The sequence below is a fragment of the Homo sapiens genome, chromosome 5 (assembly GCF_000001405.40).
Source record: "Homo sapiens chromosome 5, GRCh38.p14 Primary Assembly".
Taxonomy (NCBI): domain Eukaryota; kingdom Metazoa; phylum Chordata; class Mammalia; order Primates; family Hominidae; genus Homo; species Homo sapiens.
Window position 1 is genome coordinate 173,009,113 of NC_000005.10, and position 19,651 is coordinate 173,028,763.

Genomic DNA, 19,651 nt, shown 5'->3' on the forward strand with positions numbered 1-19,651 from the left:
CTACTCGGGAGGCTGAGGCACAAGGATCGCTTGAACCAGGAAAGCAGAGGTTATGGTGAGCCAAGATTGCACCACTGCGCTCCAGCCTGGGCAACAGAGCGAGCCTGTCTCAAAAAATACAAATTAAAAAAATAAATAAATAAAATAAAAGAACTCGCCTGAAGCCATGCCCAGTGGTGGCACCTCATGCCTGCAATCTCAGCTACTCAGGAGACTGAGATGGGAGGATTGCTAAAGGCCAGGAGTTCAAGACCACCCTGGGCAACATAGCAAGATTCTCATCTCAAAGATAAAAACAAAAATTCCCCTGAACAGGTCACATTCACTCAGGATAGCCACTTCCCTTTTTTTTTTTTTTTTTTTTTTTGAGACAGAGTCTCGTTCTATCATCCAGGTGGCTGGAGTGCAGTGGTGCAATCTTGGCTCACTGCAACCTCTGCCTCCCATGTTCAAGTGATTCTCGTGCCTCAGCCTCCGGAGTAGCTGGGATTACAGGCGTGCACCACCACGCCCGGCTAATTTTTATTTTTAGTAGAGACAGAGTTTTTCCATGTTGGCCAAGCTGGTCTCCCAACTCCTGACCTCTGGTGATCCACCCACCTTGGCCTCCCAAAGTGCTGGGATTACAGGCGTGAGCCACTGCGCCTGGCCTCTTTTTTTTTTTTTTTTTAGATGGAGTCTTGCTCTGTTGCCCAGGCTGGAGTGCAGTGGCACAATCTGAGCTCACTGCAACCTCTGCCTCCCGGGTTCAGGCGATTCTCCTGCCTCAGCCTCCTGAGTAGCTGGGATTACAGGCACGTGCCACCACGCCTGGCCAATTTTTGTATTTTTAGTAGAGACGGGGTTTCACCATGTTGGTCACGCTGGTCTCAAACTCCTGACCTCGTGATCTGCCTGCCTTGGCCTCCCAAAGTGCTGGAATTACAGGCGCGAGCCACCGTGCCTGTCCTGGATAGCCACTTTGTTAAAGCCAGCTGTATCAGATAATATAATCTAACCATGGAGTGACTATTCTGTCAGATTCACTGAGTTTTATACAGAGTGTGTATACTGAGTGGTGGGAACCTCGGGAGAATTGAAATCTGCCTGCCATAGAGTGGGTGGTCGCGGGAGAGGAGGTGGAGATGAGAATGACTCAGTGCTACATGAGAAACTCCTTTGTGAAGTAAATAGGTTGTATTTCATTCTGTGGCTTGAATACATTTTTAGCTGTCTTACAGAGAAAGAGAAGAAATAACCAGTGTTTATTGAACATCTATTTGTCAGCCACTGCATAGAGCACTTTACTTATATTATCTCTTTAAATTGTAATACTATAAGGCAAGGATTATTATCACCATTTTACAACAGGAGACAGTGGGCTTGGGGTTGTAAGGACATTTGCCTGGATTCAGTTCACCGATATTTAGTGTTGCTGGAATTAAAATCCGACTCTGTCTAATACCGAATCCCATGTTTTCTAGGAGCATCTAATAATGTTGCTCCTCTTGAAAGTATTTTTATCATTCAGTTGAGATGAGAGGTCGTTTTAGTGGCGCTAGGGCAAATCACTTTCCTGCATTTCTGCTGTCTCTTAAGGAGCTCACCGACAGAGGTCACTGCTGTCATGGCCCTGGCTGGAGGGACAGTGGATCAGAAGAGAGGTCCTGGCCAGACTTCCCCATTCCAGTAGGGAAGCTGAGACTGCTCCATCTGCGTGTCACCGGGAAGTAACCTGTGCCTTTGTTCCCTGTTCTTATATCTGAATGTGGAACAGAAGAACAAAGCAGGGCTTGAGAGAGCTGAGTATAGTGGTGAGGGCATAGTTTATGCTGGGAGAGTTCTAGTAACCAAGAGCTGAGCTCCTAAGAAGTGGCCAGGGAGGGTTTATAGTATGAAGGCACCCATGCATATCTCTACAAAAACATATTCTACTACTCTCCTTGGCTTATTTCTCACAGCTCATGAGTCCCTTTGGGTTGGCCCCTCAGCCATCTCCTTTTCGCATCCTCAGAGGTTGACATGGAACATGGCACTGCTAAATGATTGTGGAATAAATGAATCCCTAGGCTGCCTGATTTATCTTTTTTTTTTTTTTTTTTTTTTTTGAAACAGGGTCTTGCTCTGTTGCCCAGGCTAGAGTGCAGTGGCATGATCATAGCTCACGGCAGCCTTGACCTCCGGCCAGTGATCCTCCCACCTCAGCTTCCTGAGTAGCTGGGACTATAGGCATGTGCCATCAAGCCTGGCTAATTGAAAAAAAATTTTTTTTTATAGAGACGGGGTCTCGCCATGTTGCTCAGGCTGGTCTTGAACTCATAGGCTCAAGCAATCCACCTGCCTCAGCCTCCCAAAGTGTTGGAATTACAGACATGAGCCACTGCACCTGGCCTGTTTCATCCTTAATAGCCTATAGAAACAGCCTAGTATAATGGGACTCAGGAGTCCTGGATTCCCCGCTTCCAGCTTCCCCCTTCACTAATTTGCTGTGGGGTATTAGTAAGTTCACTAGGACTTAATTTCCTCATCTTTAAAATGCAGAACTTAGACTTGATCTCAGATCCATTCCGGCTCTGCAGTTCTCTGAAGACATTATTGCACCATAGCTGCCTCAATTGTTTGAATAATCTCAGATTGGTTATTAAGGCTGGCCCTCAGGTTATGAAGACATGCGGTACAGTTCGGGCAAACATGAAAGGTACATTTAGTTCCTTTTCTTGTACACATGAAGTAATAGATTCATTGGAATATGATCTCTTCCTCCACCCACTTCCATCAATTCAGAGTGGATTTTTTTTCCCTTCCAGTTCTCTGCGTGTTTGTCAGCTTTAAAGGGAAATTTTAAGTCAGGAGGTAGTCAGAGGGGCAGGCACAAAGCTCAGCGGGTTAGGGGGGTAAATTCCTCTGAAATTTCAAATAAACCAGACTAGACTGTTTCCTAGGTAAATTTTTTTTTTTTTTTTTGAGTCTTGCTGTGTCACCCAGGCTGGAGTGCAGTGGCCCGATCTCAGCTCACTGCAACCTCTGCCTCCCAGGTTCAAGTGATTCTCCTGCCTCAGCCTCCCGAGTAGCTGCTACTACATCCATGTGCTACTGTGCCTGGCTGATTTTTATATTTTTAGTAGAGATAGTGTTTCCCCATATTGGCCAGGCTGGTCTTGGACTCCTGACCTCAGGTGATCCGCCCGCCTTGGCCTCTGGAGTTTTCTTGAACTGTGGTTTCTTGTTTTTTTTTTCTTAAGTGAGATGTGTGCGTGTGTGTGTACATGCATATGTGTATGCATGTGTACTTTGATAACCATATACAGAAGAGTGAAATTGAACCCTTTCTGTCACCATATACAAAAGTCAACTCAGGATGGGTTAAAGATTTAAACGAGGCCGGGCATGGTGGCTCACGCCTTTAATCCCAGCACTTTGGGAGGCCAAGGCGGGCAGATCACCTGAGGTCGGGATTTTGAGACCAGCCTGACCAATACGCAGAAACCCCATCTCTACTAAAAATACAAAAAATTAGCTGGGCATGGTGGCGCATGCCTGTAATCCCAGCTACTCAAGAGACTGAGGCAGGAGAATCGCTTGAACCTGGGAGATGAAGGTTGCCATGAGCTGAGATCGCGTGCCATTCCACTCCAGGCTGGGCAATGAGTGAAACTCCATCTCAAAAAAAAAAAAAAGAAAAGATTTAAACATAAGACCTGAAATTATAAAACAGCTAGAAGCAAACATAGGGACAACTCTTCAGAGCATTGGTCTAGGCAAAAGTTTTATGACTAAGACCTCAAAAGCACAGGCAACAGGCTGGGTGTAGTGGCTCACACCTGTAATCCCAGCACTTTGGGAGGTTGAGGTGGGAGGATCAGTTGAGCCCAGGAATTCGAGACCAGCTTAGGCAGCATAATGAGACCCTGTCTCTACAAAAAATTTAAAAAATTAGCCAAGCCTGGTGGCACGTGCTTGTGGTCCAAGCTACTCAGGCGGCTGAGGTAGGAGGATTGCTTAAGTCCAGGAGCCTGGGAGATCAAGGCTGCAATGAGCTGTGATTGCGCCACTCCAGTCCAGCCTGGGCAACAGAGCAAGACACTTGTGTTAAAAAAAAGAAAAAAAGGCACAGTCAACAAAAACTAAAATAGACAAATGGGACTATATTAAACTAAAAAGCTCTGCACAGCAAAAGAAACAATAGAATAAAGAGACAACTTGGCCGGGCGCGGTGGCTCACGCCTGTAATCCCAGCACTTTGGGAGGCCGAGGCGGGTGAATCACGAGGTCAGGAGATCGAGACCATCCTGGCTAACATGGTGAAACCCCGTCTCTACTAAAAATACAAAAAATTAACCAGGCGTAGTGGTGGGCGCCTGTAGTCCCAGCTACTCCGGAGGCTGAGGCAGGAGAATGGCGTGAACCCGGCAGGCGGAGCTTGCAGTGAGCTGAGATTGCGCCACTGCACTCCAGCCTGGGCGACAGAGCCAGACTCCATCTCAAAAAAAAAAAAAAAAAAAAGAGACAACTTGTTGAATGGGAGAAAATATTTGCAAACTACCCAACTGACAGGGGACTAAGATCCAGAATATATAAGGACCTCAAACAACTTAACAGTTAAACAAATAATCCTATTGAGAAATGGACAAAGGACATGACTAGATATTTCTCAAAAGAAGACATTACAAATGGCCAGCAGTGCTCAATATTATTAATCACTAGGGAAATGCAATTCAAAACTACAATGAGATATCATCTCACTCCAGTTAGAATGGCTATTACTAAAAAGCGAAAATATGGCCATGCATGGTGGCTCATGCCTATAATCCCAGCACTTTGGGAAGCCAAGGCAGGTGGATCATCTGAGATTAGGAGTTTGAGACCAGCCTGGCCAACCATGTTCAACATGGTGGAACCCCATCTCCACTAAGAATTAAAAAATTAGCTGGGTGTGGTGGTAGGTTGTAATCCCAGCTACTCCTGAGGCTGAGGCAGGAGAATCACTTCAACCCGGGAGGTAGAGGTTGCAGTGAGCCAAGATCGTGCCACTGCACTCCAGCCTGGGCCGTAAAGGGAGACTCCATCTTAAAAAAAAAAAAAAAAAAAAGCCAAAAAATAACAGATGCCAGCAAGGATGCAGAGAAAAGGAAACTTTTATACACTGTTAGTGAGAATGTAAATTAGTATAGAAAATGGTATGGAGTATAGAAACCAGTATAGAAAATGGTATGGAGATTTTTCAAAAAACTAAAAATAGAACTGCCATATGATCCAGCATTCCCGCTACTGGGTATTTATCCAGTGGTAGAGAAATCAGTATATATAAAAGGTATACCTGCACTCTCGCATGTTGATCGCAGTGCTGTTCACAGTAGCAGAGACAGAGAATCAATCTAAGTGTCTGTCAACAGATGAACGCATGCAGAAAATGTGTTATATGTACACTACGGAATAGTATTCAGCCATAAAAAAAGAATGAAATCATGTCATTTGCAGCATCATGGGAGGAACTAGAGGCCATTATCTTAAGTGAAATAAGCCAAGTGCAGAAAGACAAATATCACATGTTCTCACTTATATGTGGGAGCTAAAAAATTTGATGTCAAAGACATGAAGAGTAGAATGATAGATATGAGAGACTGGGAAGGAAGGAAAGTTGTGGGAATAAAGAGTAGCACAATGGGTACAAACATGTGGGGTACCCGTAAAATGGGCACAAACATTAAACAGAGGAAATAAGTTTCTTCTATGTTTGATTGCAAAATAGGGTGACTATACTCAGCAACAGTACTTTGTGTATTTCATACTAACGGGAAGCGAGGACTTGAAATGATACCAACACAGAGAAATGGTAAATACGAAGAAAAAACAGTTTCTAAATACTGACCTGACCAAGAAAGGGGTCTTCATTCTTTCTTCTGGATATTCTTTAGTGAAGGCACCAAAGGCTTGTGTTGAACTTAATCAGTGCTCAGTGGATGGATTCTCATTTTCTGAATTCTCAATTTAGATTTAGCTAAATTAATGCCTTCTGAAATGTTCTCAGTTAAAATATTCCAGAAGGTCACTTTTTGAAGTGGGAACAGTAATCTGATCTGATTCCTGGTCTAGGATCTACTACTACCTAATTAGCATTGTGACCATAGGCCAATCACTTAGACTCTCTCTGCCTGTTTCCTAGTACAAGAATTAAATGAAAGGTTATATGTGAAATTGTGATATTGTGAAATACAAATTTAGTCTTTGTTCCCATTTCCTGGTATACAACTCCTAAAATCCTTAGAATCTCCAAAGTGACATGTGTCTTTGTATGCTAATGAGTTGACTGATGATTGGCAGCCCCTTGGTAGCTCCAGGATGGGATCTAATCACGAACCAAGGAAGGATTAGAGGGTTGGGACTTTCAGCCCCACAGCCCAACCATAGGGGAAGGGGGAGGGGCTGAACCTTAAACTGATCACCAATGGCCCGTGATGTAATCAATCATGCCTACACAATGAAGCTTCCATAAAAACCCAAAAGGATTGGGTTCTGAGAGGTTCAGGAAAGCTGGAAGCTATTCCTGGAGGCTGGTGTTCCCAGGAAGAGCATGAGAACTTTGTGCCCCTTTCCATAGCTCACCCTGTCCATCCCTTCATCAGTATCTTGTGTAGTATCTTTTGTTAGTTTGTTTGAGACAGTCTCACTCTGTCATCCAGGCTAAAGTGCAGTGGTGCGACCTTGGCTCACTGCAACCTCTGCCTCCCAGGTTCAAGTGATTCTCCTGCCTCACCCTCCCAAGTAGCTGGGACTACAGATGTGTGCCACCATGCCCAGCTGATTTTTGTATTTTTAGTAGAGACGGGTTTCACCATGTTGGCCAGGCTGATCTCGAACTCCTGGGCTCAAGTGATCCACCCGCCTTGGCCTCCCAGTGTCGAGATTACAGGCGTGAGCCACCATGCCCAGATTGTAGTATCTTTTATAGTAAACCAGAAAACGTGTTTCCCTGAGCTCCGCGAGCTGCTCTAGTAGATTAATTGAACCTAAGAAAGGTTAGAGCCTCCCCGATTTATAGCCAGTTGGTCAGAAGCACAGGTAGAACAACCTGGGGCTTGCGATTGGCATCAGAAGTGAGGGGCGGTCTTGTGGAACCAAGCCCTCACCCTGTGAGATCTGATGCTGATGCTACCTCCAGGCAGATAATGTCAGGATTGAATTGGAGGACACCCAGCTGGAGTCCGCTGCAGAATTGATTGTGTGCTTGTTGGTGGGGAGAAATCCCCACACATTTGGCTGTAGAAGTCTCTTCTGTGTTGATTATTGTGGTGTGAAAGCAGAGGAAAAGGAGTCAATGTTTTTTCCACTCTCAGAAATAGCATCAGTATATTTTAAAAGTTCCCTGAGTGATTATAATTTGCAGCTGGGGAGGAGAACCACTCCGCTACAACATCCTACAAAGTGCTGGGAAGTGGTGTTTTCATTCTGTGCTATATTCTTGGTAACAAAAGGAGATAGGGGCTAGTTTAAATTCTAATGGATTTTTTTAGTATTTCTAGGCATTGGCCAGTTGTCTCAGTCTCTTACGAAAGTGTTTTTTCAGGCAGCTTGTATTGCCTGCCGGGATTGGGGAAGTCCTTGGTTAGTTTGGAATTTTCCATGACTCTTAGCTCTGCACCATTAGCGTCAACTGCAGTCACAGAGCTTTTCAGTGTGTCCGCCTGTGCTGTTCTCTTCCTTTTTTTATAATGTCAGATGGATGATGTTGAACCTCAACTACAAGTCTTAGTATTGTGTTTGTGTTTAATACCCTACTTCTAAGGATGGATCAGAAAATCTCATCTGAATGAACTTTTTGTTTATTAAGTGAGTCAGCTTGAACTATCTGTTTTGGCCTGCTTTCCTCAGGTGTCATGTTTCCTGTCACAAAATCACCTTTTGTTTCTGTGGGCACAAGCTTCTGATATGGTGCTGGCTAATTCTCCAGCAATCTCTCCATTGGTGATCAGAATCAGCCTTTTGATCCTCTGATTGGAAAAGCTCTAAAAATGACAGTAAATGAAAGAAAAAAGATCCACCCGGATAATGGCCTAGTTGGGGCTTGGCTAGTTCCCCGCTTATAGGGAAATTTAAAGTCCTGAAAGCGTGAAAGGAGACTGCTGTAGTGATATATCCACTTACCCTTAGAAAGTGATTCCCTGCTGGGCGTGGTGGCTCACCCCTGTAATCCCAGCACTTTGGGAGGCCGAGGTGGGCGGATCACGTGAGATCAGGAGTGCGAGACCAGCCTTGCCAACATGGTGAAACCCCATCTTTACTAAAAATACAAAAATTAGCCGAGTGTGGTGGCAGGCGCCTGTAATCCCAACTACTCGGGAGGCTGAGGCGGGAGAATCGCTTGAACCCGGGAGGCAGAGGTTGCAGTGAGCCGAGATCGTGCCATCGCACTCCAGCCTGGGTGACGAGAGTGAGACTTCGTCTAAAAAAAAAAAAAAAAAAGCGATTCCTGGCCGGCTGCAGTGGCTCACGCCTGTAATCCCAGCACTTTGGGAGGCCAAGGTGGGCGGATCACAAGGTCAGGAGTTCGACACCAGCCTGGCCAACATAGTGAAACCTCTTCTCTACTAAAAATACAAAAATTAGCTGGGGATGGTGGCGCGTGCCTGTAATTCCAGCTACTCAGGAGGCTGAAGCAGGAGAATTGCTTGAACCCAGGAAGTGGAGGTTGTGGTGAGCTGAGATCGTGCCACTGCACTCCAGCCTGGACAACAGAACGAGACTCCTTCTCAAAAAAAAAAAAAAAAAAAAGAAAAGAAAAGAAAGGGATTCCCTAGATCCCAATGTACCATGCAGAAAGGATAGCAGTATGTTACCAAATTTCACTCTCCCAGATTGGTAGTTGGAGGTTGGTTGGGCTTGTTTACCTTAACCCTGCCCTCCTCCCCACACCACTGCCCACCAATGAAAGAAATTCAAATTCATACACAGTTGACCTTTGAATAACGTGGAAGTTAGAGGTTCCGATCCCCTGCACAGTTGAAAATCCATTTATAACTTTTGAATCCCCCCAGATTTAATTACTAATAGCCTACTGTTGATCAGGAGCTTTACCAATAACATAAACAGTCAATTAACACATAATTTGTATACGTATTATATCCCGTGTTCCTATAATAAAGGAAGGTAGAGAAAAGAAAATGTTAAGAAAATCATAAGGAAGAGAAAATATGTTTACTATTATATTAAGTGGAAGTGGATGAGCATAAAGGTCTTCATCCTTGTTGTCTTCACACTGAGTAGGCTGAGGAGGAGGAAGAAGAGGGCTTGGTCCTGCTGTCTCAGGTGTGGTAGAGGCAGAAGAGGTGGAGGAGGTGGAAAGGGAGGTGGAGGCAGGACAGGCAGGCATATGAGCAGGCCCAGGCATCCAAGTCGACCTGCATGGTTCAAACCCATGTTCAATGGTCAGCTGGATTTTGAGTAGGAACTAAAGGCAGTGTGTATTCTGCTTCATTCCCCTGTCTGTCTTCCTCCTTCCCTGACCACCCTGTCGAAATAATGCCCCGTCAAGCCACTCTCTATTCCTTCTCCTTGCTTGACTTCCTTCATAACAGTTATCACCTGACATTCTATTATGTAAGCTCTGTGAGGATAGTGACATTTCATTTTTCGCCATTGTATTTCTGAGGCCTAGAACTTAGTAGGTGCTCATTAAATATTTCTTTAGTAAGTGAAGAATGGTTTGAATACTCAGACATTTGCATATTTTTTTGTTGTTTGCTTTTGTCTGAGCTAAGTGATTCTCAAAACTTTATTTGGCATATGAATTACCGTATCATATATAAGACCCTTTATACAGAACTTTGTGAGCTATATAAGAAAATTTTAAAGATAAATCTATGCTATTTTTCTTTTCTTTTTTTAGAGACAGGGTCTCACTCTGTTGCCCAGGCTGGAGTGCAGTGATGTAACTATAGCACTGCAGCCTTGAACTCCCAGGCTCAAGGGATGCTCCCACCTCAGCCTCCTGGGTAGCTGTGGCTACAAGTGCAAGTCAGCAAACACAGTGAATTTTTAAAATTTTTTTATAGAGACGGGTTCTCACTGTGTTGCCCAGACTGGTCATCAACTCCTGGCTTCGAGTGATCCTTATCCTCCCAAAGTGCGGGATTATAGGCATGAGCCACCGCACCCAACCTGTTTTTCACTTTTAACCCTGAAGTCGGCTGGGCGAGGTGGCTCACGTCTGTAATCCCAGCACTTTGGGAGGCCGAGGCGGGCACATCACGAGGTCAGGAGATGGAGACCATCCTGGCTAACACGGTGAAAACCCATCTCTACTAAAAATACAAAAAATGAGCTGGGCGTGGTGGCGGGCGCCTGTAGTCCCAGCTACTCGGGAGGCTGAGGCAGGAGAATGGGTGAACTCGGGAGGCGGAGCTTGCAGCAAGCCGAGATTGCACCACTGCAGTCTGGACTGGGCGAAAGAGCGAGACTCCATCTCAAAAAAAAAAAAACCCTGAAGTAAGATGTGACACCATTTTACTTCCTTTATAGTTTAGTCTGTAATACAGAGGAATACCTCATTATTTAGATTCTGAAGTAAACTGGGGAGAAGGTAAATGCCCATTCTGTTAAGTTCCACAGTAGGATGTGTTACATATTTTGGTGGTGATGGGGATTAGAAAAGGGGACCTTACATGTTATAGTCTAATAGGAAGATGATAAGCTACAATCAAACCTTGCCTGTACCAGTAAAAATGGGTGTGTCATGTAGGTTGTGGGTCTTAACATTTGGAGAATGGATAAAATAAGACACATTTTCCCTGAGGTTGGAAGTTGTGATGATGATAAATTGAGATTAAGTGAAAACGCTTTGAAGCGAAGATATCATGAATTCAGGAAATCTTGGATACTTGGAAAGATAATCAGGTAATGAGAGAAAAGTCAGAGACTTACTGTGACAAAGCCTCACTGCTTTGTGATATGTCTCAAGATGAAGGCAGGCTACGTCCTGGGAAACATTTTGTTATCAGACATGCTGCTGTTAACACAATGTATATGGAAAGTTTGGTGTGAATGCAGTAGATTTAAGTTTTGCTAGTGTACTTTTTCCATGCTAATTGAAAATGGTCATGTTCCAACATGATTTCACCGCTTCGTTGTTTCTCTCCCATCCTTCTTTTAGTTGGCTGATTGCAATTCTGGCCCAACTCAACCCTCTCTTTGGACCGCAATTGAAAAATGAAACCATCTGGTATCTGAAGTATCATTGGCCTTGAGGAAGAAGACATGCTCTACAGTGCTCAGTCTTTGAGGTGACTATGCTTGTGACCTTTCTTATCAGTATGGTCAGGCAGTCAGAGTTTGCCTTGACTTTTTCTCACATTTTATGGCCATTTTAACACGTGGCAAGGGCAAGCTGCTGAATGCAAACACGATCTGAAGAGCAGAAATAAAATTGGAACTTAAGCCTTAGCTTACCTAAATCTCATTAAGATTCTTTTTAGATTCTGCTATCACCCTGCCTTTTTAAATAAATACAGTTTAATTTACAAAATTAAGCTTGCATGCACTCTTTCAGACGCAGATCAAAAAAGTAACTGTTTATACTTGGCATTGTGAGATCCAGCAACTTTAAAAAGTGGCTGGCAGATTTAAAATTGAGCAGGTTTCTTTCCAGCAGTAGTCAGCCATCCGGACAGAACCGTTCCTGTGATGGTGTTACACTGCTGGGAGAGGAATGTCTTGTCTTCATCCGGTTGCCTGCGCCACTGTTCTGGTGGCGTCTGGCACTGGTGCAAGACAGAGCTGTGCTTCCCCGAGAGTGTGCTAAGCATTCACTTTGGCTGCTTAGTTCTAGTCTGGGAGCAGACAGAGAAAACAAAATTAAGGTTTTTGAATGCTTTGGATGGAGAAAGGTGCCTGCGTCCGTTTGTTTTGTGTTGCTATAAAGGAATACATGAGACTGGGTAATTTATATTTGGCTCGCAGTTCTGCAGGCTGTATAAACATGACACCCGTATCTGTTTGGCTTCTGGTGAGGCCTCAGGAGGTTTTTACTTATGGCAGAAAGCAAAAGGGGGGCAGCCGTGTCATATGGCCAGAGAGGGAGCAAGAGAGAGAGAAGGAGGTGCCAGGCTCCTTTAAACAAGCAGCTCTTGTGTGCACTAACAACTACTTCACTCGTTACTATGGGGAGGTATATTAGCCCATTTTCACGCTGCTGATAAAGACATACCCAAGACTGGGTAATTTATAAAGAAAGAGAGGTTTAATGGACTCACAGTTCCTCGTGGCTGGGGAGGCCTCACAATAATGGCGGAGGATGAAAGGCAGTTCTTACATGGTAGCAGCAAGAGAGAATCAGAACCAAGCAAAAGGGGTCTCCCCTTATAAAACCATCAGATCTCGTGAGACTTATTCACTACCATGAGAACAGTATGGGGGAACTGCCCCCATGATTCAGTTATCTCCCACCAGGTCCCTCCCACAACACGTGGAAATTATGGAAGCTACAATTCAAGATGAGATTTGGGTGGGGACACAGCCAAACCATATCAGGAGGGTACCAAGCCATTCATGAGGAATCCACCCCCATGACCCAAACACCTCCCACCAGGCCCCACCTCCATCATTGGGGATCACATTTCAACATGAGATTTGGAGGGGACATATAATCCAAGCCATATCAGTGCCTTTTGAAAATCAGTCTTTGGTCGTGCGCGGTGGCTCACGCCTGTAATCCCAGCACTTTGGGAGGCTGAGGCAGGTGGATCACGAGGTCACGAGATCGAGACCACGGTGAAACCCATCTCTACTAAAAATACAAAAAATTAGCTGGGCACAGTGGTGGGCGCATGTAGTCCCAGCTACTCGGGAGGCTGAGGCAGGAGAATGGCTTGAACCCAGGAGGCAGAGCTTGCAGTGAGGCGAGATCGCGCCACTGCACTCCAGCCTGGGCGACAGAGCAAGACTCCGTCTCAGAAAAAGGAAAATCAGTCTTAAGGTTGCAGCTTCTATTTGTCCTGAGGGTCAGAGAGGTTAGTAGTGGTATAGTGGAAAGATTTATTCACTGGCCGAGAGTCAGGAAACCTCTTATTTAATCTGTTCGTTGTTTTCATTATTTTGTTAAATGGAAGTTAGCTTTAAATGCCTTGACTAGATTTAGGTTCAAGTTTTTTGGCTCTTTAGGTGTTACTGTAAACTGTGTATTGCCTCCCATCTGGAGAAACAGGATGTCTGGCTCTGGCTCTCCTATGTTTAGTAAGGCTGATGTGATCACTGGGTTCAGGTAATGACAGCCTGGTTCCTTCATTTGTAAAGTCCTTTTTATCAAGTGATTTTATCCATTGATGATCATAGCCTGAATTAATCATTTTAGTTGAAATGGCAAATGGTGATTTGCTGCTGCTGCTGTTTTTTGTTTTTGTTTTTGTTTTTAATTGAGACAGAATCTCATTCTTGTCACCTAGGCTGGAGTACAGTTGCACAATCACGGCTAACTGCAGTCTTGACCTCCTGGGATTAAGCAATCCTCCTGCCCCAGCCTCCCAAGTAGCTGGAATTACAGTCATGAGCCACCATACCCTAACTTTTTTGTTTTTGAAAGAGAGTCTCTGTCACCCAGCTGGAATGCAGTGGCACCATCATGGCTTACTGCAGCCTCACACTCCTGGCTCAAGTGATCCTCCTGCCTCAGCCTCCTGAGTAGCTGGGACTACAGGCACACACCACCGTGCCTGGCTAATTTTTAAATTTTGAATAGAGACAAGGTCTTACTATGTGGTCCATGTTTTGGCTAATTTTTAAAATTTTATTTATTTTTTATAGAGAGAGAGGGTCTCTTTCTATGGCCCAGGCTGGAGTGCAGTGGTGTGATCATAGCTCACTGCTGCCTTGAATTCCTGGGCTCCCGAGATCGACCTGTCTTAGCCTCCCTAACAGCTGCAGGCACGCAGCACCACGTGTGACTTTTGTTTTGTTTTGTGGAAATGAGGTCTCACCATCTTGCCTAAGTTGGTCTCAAACTCCTGGGCTCAAGTGATCCTCCCACTTTGGCCTTCCAGAGTGTTGTGATTATGGCCATCAGCCACCGTGCCTGGCCGCAAATGATGATTTTTCCAGTTCTATTTTTATTTATTTATTTATTTATTCATTTTGAGACAGAGTCTTGCTCTATCACCCAGTCTAGAGTGCAGTGGCACGATCTCAACTCACTGCAACCTCTGCCTCCTGAATTCAAGTGATTCTTCTGCCTCAGGCTCCCAAGTAGCTGGGACTACAGGTGTGTGCTACCACACCCAGCCAATTTTTGGTTACTTTTAGTAGAGATGGGTTTTCACCATGTTGGCCAGGCTGGTCTCAAACTCCTGACCTCAGGTGATCCACCCGCCTAGGCCTCCCAAAATACTGGGATTATAGGCGTAAGCCACCATTCCCGTCTGATTTTTCAATTGTATTATTACCTCTGCATTTGATGAGCTGAAATGCTTCTATAAAGATAACTTTCCTGCCAGGCACAGTGGCTCATGCCTGTAATCCCACTACTTTGGGATGCTGAGGCAGGCAGATCACTTGAGCCCAGGAGTTCGAGACCAGCTTGGGCAATATTGTGAAACCTTGTCTCTACAAAAAATACAAAAATTAGCCAGGCAAGGTGGTGCACACCTGTAGTTCCAGCTATTCAGGAGGTTGAGGTGGGAGGAGAACTTGAGCCTGGGAGGTGGAAGTTGTAGTGAGCCAAGATCGCACCACTGCACTCCAGCCTGGGTGACAAAGCAAGACTCTGTCTCAAAAAACAAACAAACAAAAAACTTTTCCTCATCAACAGGATGATCTAATAGACTTGAAATATAGATCATGGGGCCGGGCACGGTGGCTCACCCCTCTAATCCCAGCACTTTGGGAGGCAAGGCGAGTGGGTCATGAGGTCAGGAGATCGAGACCATCATGGCTAACACGGTGAAACCCCTTCTCTGCTAACAATACAAAAAAAATTAGCCAGGCATGGTGGTGGGCGCCTGTAGTCCCAGCGACTTGGGAAGCTGAGGTAGGAGAATGGCATGAACCCAGGAGGTGGAGCTTGCAGTGAGCGGAGATTGCGCCACTGCATTCCAGCCTGGGCGACAGAGCAAGACTCCGTCTCAAAAAAAAAAAAAAAAAAAGAAAGAAATACAGATCATACAAAAATACGGGAAAAGCAGAATACAGGTTTAATTCTTTTAATTTTCATAGTAAGATGTTGGTGGCCAAGTTCCAGGGTATTCAATGAGATTTTTTTTAAATTTTAAATAATTATATTTTTTACCCTTTATATGGTTGTGTTTTGTTGTTGTTGTTTTTTGTTGTTGTTGTTTTTTGTCTGTGAGAACCTGTTTAGGATGGCTTCTATGTACTTTTGGTGTTAGTTTTTGGTAGTTTCCTTACTTTCTGGCAACATCAAAATGTCCAGGCCCCTCTTCTATATTTTCTGTCCGAGACTTAGATTTAGCTGTTCTTTGAATTGGTTTCTGAATTCCCCACTAAAAGGATGTCTGGTTTACTAACAGTTCTCAGGCCCATTTGACTCTGGTTCTGTTCAGTGGAAATGGCATTTAAGAATCACGATCGGAGTGCTAGGTGCGTTTGTTGCTGCCTGGGGTAATTAAGCATAATTGCTTCTAAGCCTTTTCAATGGAAAGAACCAGGAAGTAATGTATTTTTCAGATGAAAAATAATCTTAAGTTTACATTAGTATTTTCTCTTCAAATATAACATTACAGAGTTTTTATTTTATTTTATTTTTTTCTTTTTTCTTTTTTTTTTTTTTTGAGACAGAATCTCGCTCTGACGCCAGGCTGGAGTGCGGTGGCGTGATCTGGGCTCACTGCAACCTCTGCCTCCTGGGTTCAAGCGATTCTCCTGCCTCAGCCTCCCAAGTAGCTGGGATTACAGGTGTGCGCCACCACGCCTGGCTAATTTTTGTGTTTTTAGTAGAGACGGGGTTTCACCATGTTGGTCAGGCTGGTCTCGAACTCTTGACCTCGTGATCCACCCACCTCAGCCTCCCAAAGTGCTAGGATTACAGGTGTGAGCCACTGTGCCTGGCATTCTTTTTTTTTTTTTTTTTTTTTAAAGACAGAGTCCTGCTCTGTTGCCAAGGCTGGAGTGCAGTGGCAGTATCTTGGCTCACTGAAACCTCCACCTCCCAGGTTCAGGTAATTCTGCCTAAACCTCCTGAGTAGCTGGGACTATAGGCACACACCACCACACCCAGCTAATTTTTGTGTTTTTAGTAGAGATAGGGTTTCGCCATGTTGGCCAGGCTGGTCTCGAACTCCTGACCTCAAGTGATCTGCCTGTCTCGGCCTACCAAAGTGCTCGGATTACAGGTATGAGCCACCATGCCTGGCCTGAAAATTACTGTTCCTTAATAACAGTAACTTTTATTATTCTACAATGTATATAAAATACTTTTTTTTTTTTTTTTTTTTTTTTTTTGGAGACATGGTCTCTGTCACCCAGGCTGGAGTGCATCACCACAACCTCTGCCTCCTGGGCTCAAGTGATCCTCCTACCTCAGCCTTCTGATTATCTGGGACTGTAGACACGTGACACCACGCCTGGCTAATTTTTTGTATTTTTGGTAGAGACTCAGGGTTTCACCATGTTGCCCAGGCTGGTCTCAAACTCCTGAGCTCAAGCGATCCAACTGCCTTGGCCTCCTAAAGTGCTGGGATTACAGGTGTGGGCCTCCATGCCCGGCAAAATACTTTCAAGATAACACCAGTATAACTAATAGATATGAGCTCATCAAGTGCTGTTTTCTGAGGTCACTTAGAATAACAGCTGGTACAGTGGTATGTGCCTATAATCCCAGCTGTTTGGTGCGGTGAGGCAGAAGGATCTCTTGAGCCCAGAGTTTGAGACATGCCTCGGCAATATATCAAGACCTCATCTCAAATAATAATATTTTTTTTTTTTTCGAGACAGGGTCTCACTGTTGGTCAGGCTAGAGTGCAGTGGTGTGATGTTAGCTCACTGCAACCTCCGCTTCCTGGCTCAAGCAATTCTCCCACCTCAGCATCCTGAGTAGCTAGGACTGCAGGCATGTGCCACCATGCCTTGCAAATTTTTAAATTTTGTATGGAGACAGTGTTTCGCTTTGTTGCCCAGGATGGTCTCAAACTCCTGGGCTCAAGTGATCCACCCACTTTGGCCTCCCAAAGTGATGGGATTACAGGTGTGAGCCACTATGTCCGGCCTGTAATTATTGTTATTATTTCCCCTGGCAGTTTCGTCACCAGTTTGATACACAATTAGACTAAGTTGTTTGTGTTCAATTTATTGTATTTTTTTCTGTTTTATTTGCTGCTGTTTTTTGAATATATAAAACATCTCCAAAGTCAAATTATGAACAAGATATATTCAGAGAAATCTATCCTTTCACTGTTTCATATTTTGTAAAGATTAAGCAAATACATATATTCATTCATATGTATATACACACATACACACTGCTGTTACAGAACAGATATCAGCTACATATACTATTCTGTACCTTGTTTTATTCACTGAACAATATATGCTAGAGATTGCTGCATACTGGTGTATAGAGATGTTTCTCATCTCTTTATAGCCATTGATAATCCTTTTGGGTTATTTCTAGTCTTTTGCTATTACTGATAAAGCCACAGTGCCATCCTATGCATATGCCATTTTCTGTTTTTGCTGATGATCTTTAATGTAGCCTCCTTGAAAATGCAATCTCTGGTTTAAAGATATATATGATTTTTCTAGATACTGTTGCATTGTCTTCCATAGAGATTATACTGTTTTGCATTCCCATCAACAGTATATGAGTGGCCGAGCGTGTTGGCTCATGCCTGTAATCCCAGCACTTTGGGAGGCTGAGGCGGGCGGATCACGAGGTCAGGAGATCGAGACCATCCTGGCTAACGCAGTGAAACCCCATCTCTACTAAAAAAATACAAAAAAATTAGCTGGGCGTGGTGGCAGACGCCTGTAGTCCCAGCTACTCGGGAGGCTGGGGCAGGATAATGGCATGAACCTGGGAGGCGGAGCTTGCAGTTAGCAGAGATTGTGCCACTGCGCTCCAGCCTGGGTGACACAGCGAGACTCCGTCTCAAAAAAAAAAAAAAAAAAAAAAAAAATAGCCGGGCACGGTGGCTCACGCCTGTAATCCCAGCACTTTGGGAGGCCGAGGCGGGTGGATCACGAGATCAGGAGATCGAGACCATCCTGGCTAACACGGTGAAACCCTGTCTCTACTAAAAAAAAAAAAAAAAAAAATACAAAAAATGAGCCTGACATGGTGGCGGGTGCCTGTAGTCCCAGTTACTCCGGAGGCTGAGGCAGGAGAATGGCGTGAACCCAGGAGGCAGAGCTTGCAGTGAGCCGAGATCGTGCCACTGCACTCCAGCCTGAGTGACAGAAAGAGACTCCGTCTCAAAAAAAAAAAATAGTGTATGAGTTTCTGTTTTGCCACAACCTGAATTTTGCCAATTTAATTTCCCCTTAAATATATATATTTTATATATATGTTTATACGTACGTGTGGGTTTTTGTTTTTGTTTTTGTTTTAATAGATGGGGGTCTCACTCTGTTACCCAAGCTGGTCTTGATCTCCTGGCCTCAAGCGATCCTCCCACCTTGGCTTCTCGAAGTGCTGGGATTACAGGCATGAGCCAATGTGCCTGGCAATAATACCAATTTTTTTTAACCTGCCTTTTTCATCAAGTTCTGTTTTCTACTCTTTATTTCAACTGTAGTGAGTGTTAGGTAAGGCTGTTGATTGGGGTTCAAAGCTGAGAACTTCAGGCCTCAGTTGGTTCTAGTTCCAGCATTGCTTTTCACTTAACTTCTCTGAGTTTCATTTCCTTCCATGATAATGAGAGAATTGGGCCCTTTGACACTAAATAACACTGGGTGGGTGGATCTGAAGACATTTTATCTGCTTATTCTTTTCACTCTTATGTCTCTGTCAACCGGATTGACAGATTCCTCATGTTTTCACTCTGGTCCACAGCACACACTCGGGCTCCTTGAAACCCTTATACTAAAGTTGGTTCTTTTAAAAGCAAAATGCCAGGAAGTAGGAGGGCAAGCCGGGCGATCCCTAATTATGAACATCGTGTCATGCCTATTCTGCATTTAACAGAATTATAGTGGTATCGTAACCTAAGACTTTGGAGTTAACACATCAAGAGATCTAATCTCTGCCTAGCGTTAGAACAGACAGACTTAAGACAGGCTGACTTCACTTTTTGGATGGTAAAGTCAAAGGATTGAGTTTTGTTTAACCTTTTGAATTTTGAACTTTTACCTAATGGTGAGATGATAAAGGAGTTTAGAAGGTAGATTTGGGTCTGACCTCACCTGATAAGGAAAAATGTTTGGTTTAGTACATGATTCCTTTTAAGAGGCCAGATTTGGAAAGTAGGTGTAAGCCAGACATGGTATTCAACAGAGAAAAATGAGGACCAGTTATGAAAGCTTTAGAATAATTTTATATAGATGAAATGGAATCAATCCAAAGAACACACCGTTAAATACATAGCCGATCTTTTGCTGCTTTAATCAAGGTAACTGTCATGATTTCTTTCCTGAATTGAAGAACCGAACCACAGCCTGATGAGAGGCTGAGTTACAGCACGTTATGTTTATTGGCTGCAAATAAACGTGTCCAGTACTCCTAAGAGCAGTGCTCACT

At 44.2% G+C, this 19,651-nt stretch overlaps 1 protein-coding gene and 1 non-coding gene across 2 annotated transcripts in view, besides 4 other annotated features; both read left to right on the plus strand.

Moving 5' to 3' along the window:
* The window catches only part of ATP6V0E1 (ATPase H+ transporting V0 subunit e1), a 51,675-nt gene that overhangs the window by 25,342 nt on the left and 6,682 nt on the right, over positions 1-19,651 (plus strand). Inside the window, exon 3 of the mRNA NM_003945.4 lies at positions 11,126-11,255. Coding sequence (NP_003936.1) covers positions 11,126-11,219 — 94 coding nt within the window. The 3' untranslated portion in view covers positions 11,220-11,255. The remainder of the gene's footprint in view (positions 1-11,125; positions 11,256-19,651) is intronic.
* Positions 914-1,208: a silencer, noted in NCBI's record as "tiled region #12761; K562 Repressive DNase matched - State 8:EnhW". NCBI's record gives its function as "represses a minimal TATA promoter and a strong SV40 promoter by Sharpr-MPRA in K562 cells {active_cell/tissue: K562}" and the evidence as "EXISTENCE:reporter gene assay evidence [ECO:0000049][PMID:27701403]".
* Positions 1,059-1,138: an enhancer, noted in NCBI's record as "active region_23650". NCBI's record gives its function as "activates an Ori minimal core promoter by ATAC-STARR-seq in GM12878 lymphoblastoid cells {active_cell/tissue: GM12878}" and the evidence as "EXISTENCE:reporter gene assay evidence [ECO:0000049][PMID:35858748]".
* Positions 8,339-8,882: an enhancer, noted in NCBI's record as "H3K4me1 hESC enhancer chr5:172444454-172444997 (GRCh37/hg19 assembly coordinates)". NCBI's record gives its function as "activates a minimal SCP1, AML or CMV promoter by ChIP-STARR-seq in primed H9 embryonic stem cells {active_cell/tissue: H9 hESC(primed)}" and the evidence as "EXISTENCE:reporter gene assay evidence [ECO:0000049][PMID:30033119]".
* Positions 11,114-11,408: a silencer, noted in NCBI's record as "tiled region #4768; HepG2 Repressive non-DNase unmatched - State 15:Elon, and K562 Repressive DNase matched - State 5:Enh". NCBI's record gives its function as "represses a minimal TATA promoter and a strong SV40 promoter by Sharpr-MPRA in HepG2 and K562 cells {active_cell/tissue: HepG2 | K562}" and the evidence as "EXISTENCE:reporter gene assay evidence [ECO:0000049][PMID:27701403]".
* SNORA74B (small nucleolar RNA, H/ACA box 74B) lies at positions 11,614-11,817 on the plus strand. Its single transcript, NR_002988.1, has one exon. It is a non-coding gene; the product is annotated as a small nucleolar RNA, H/ACA box 74B (small nucleolar RNA).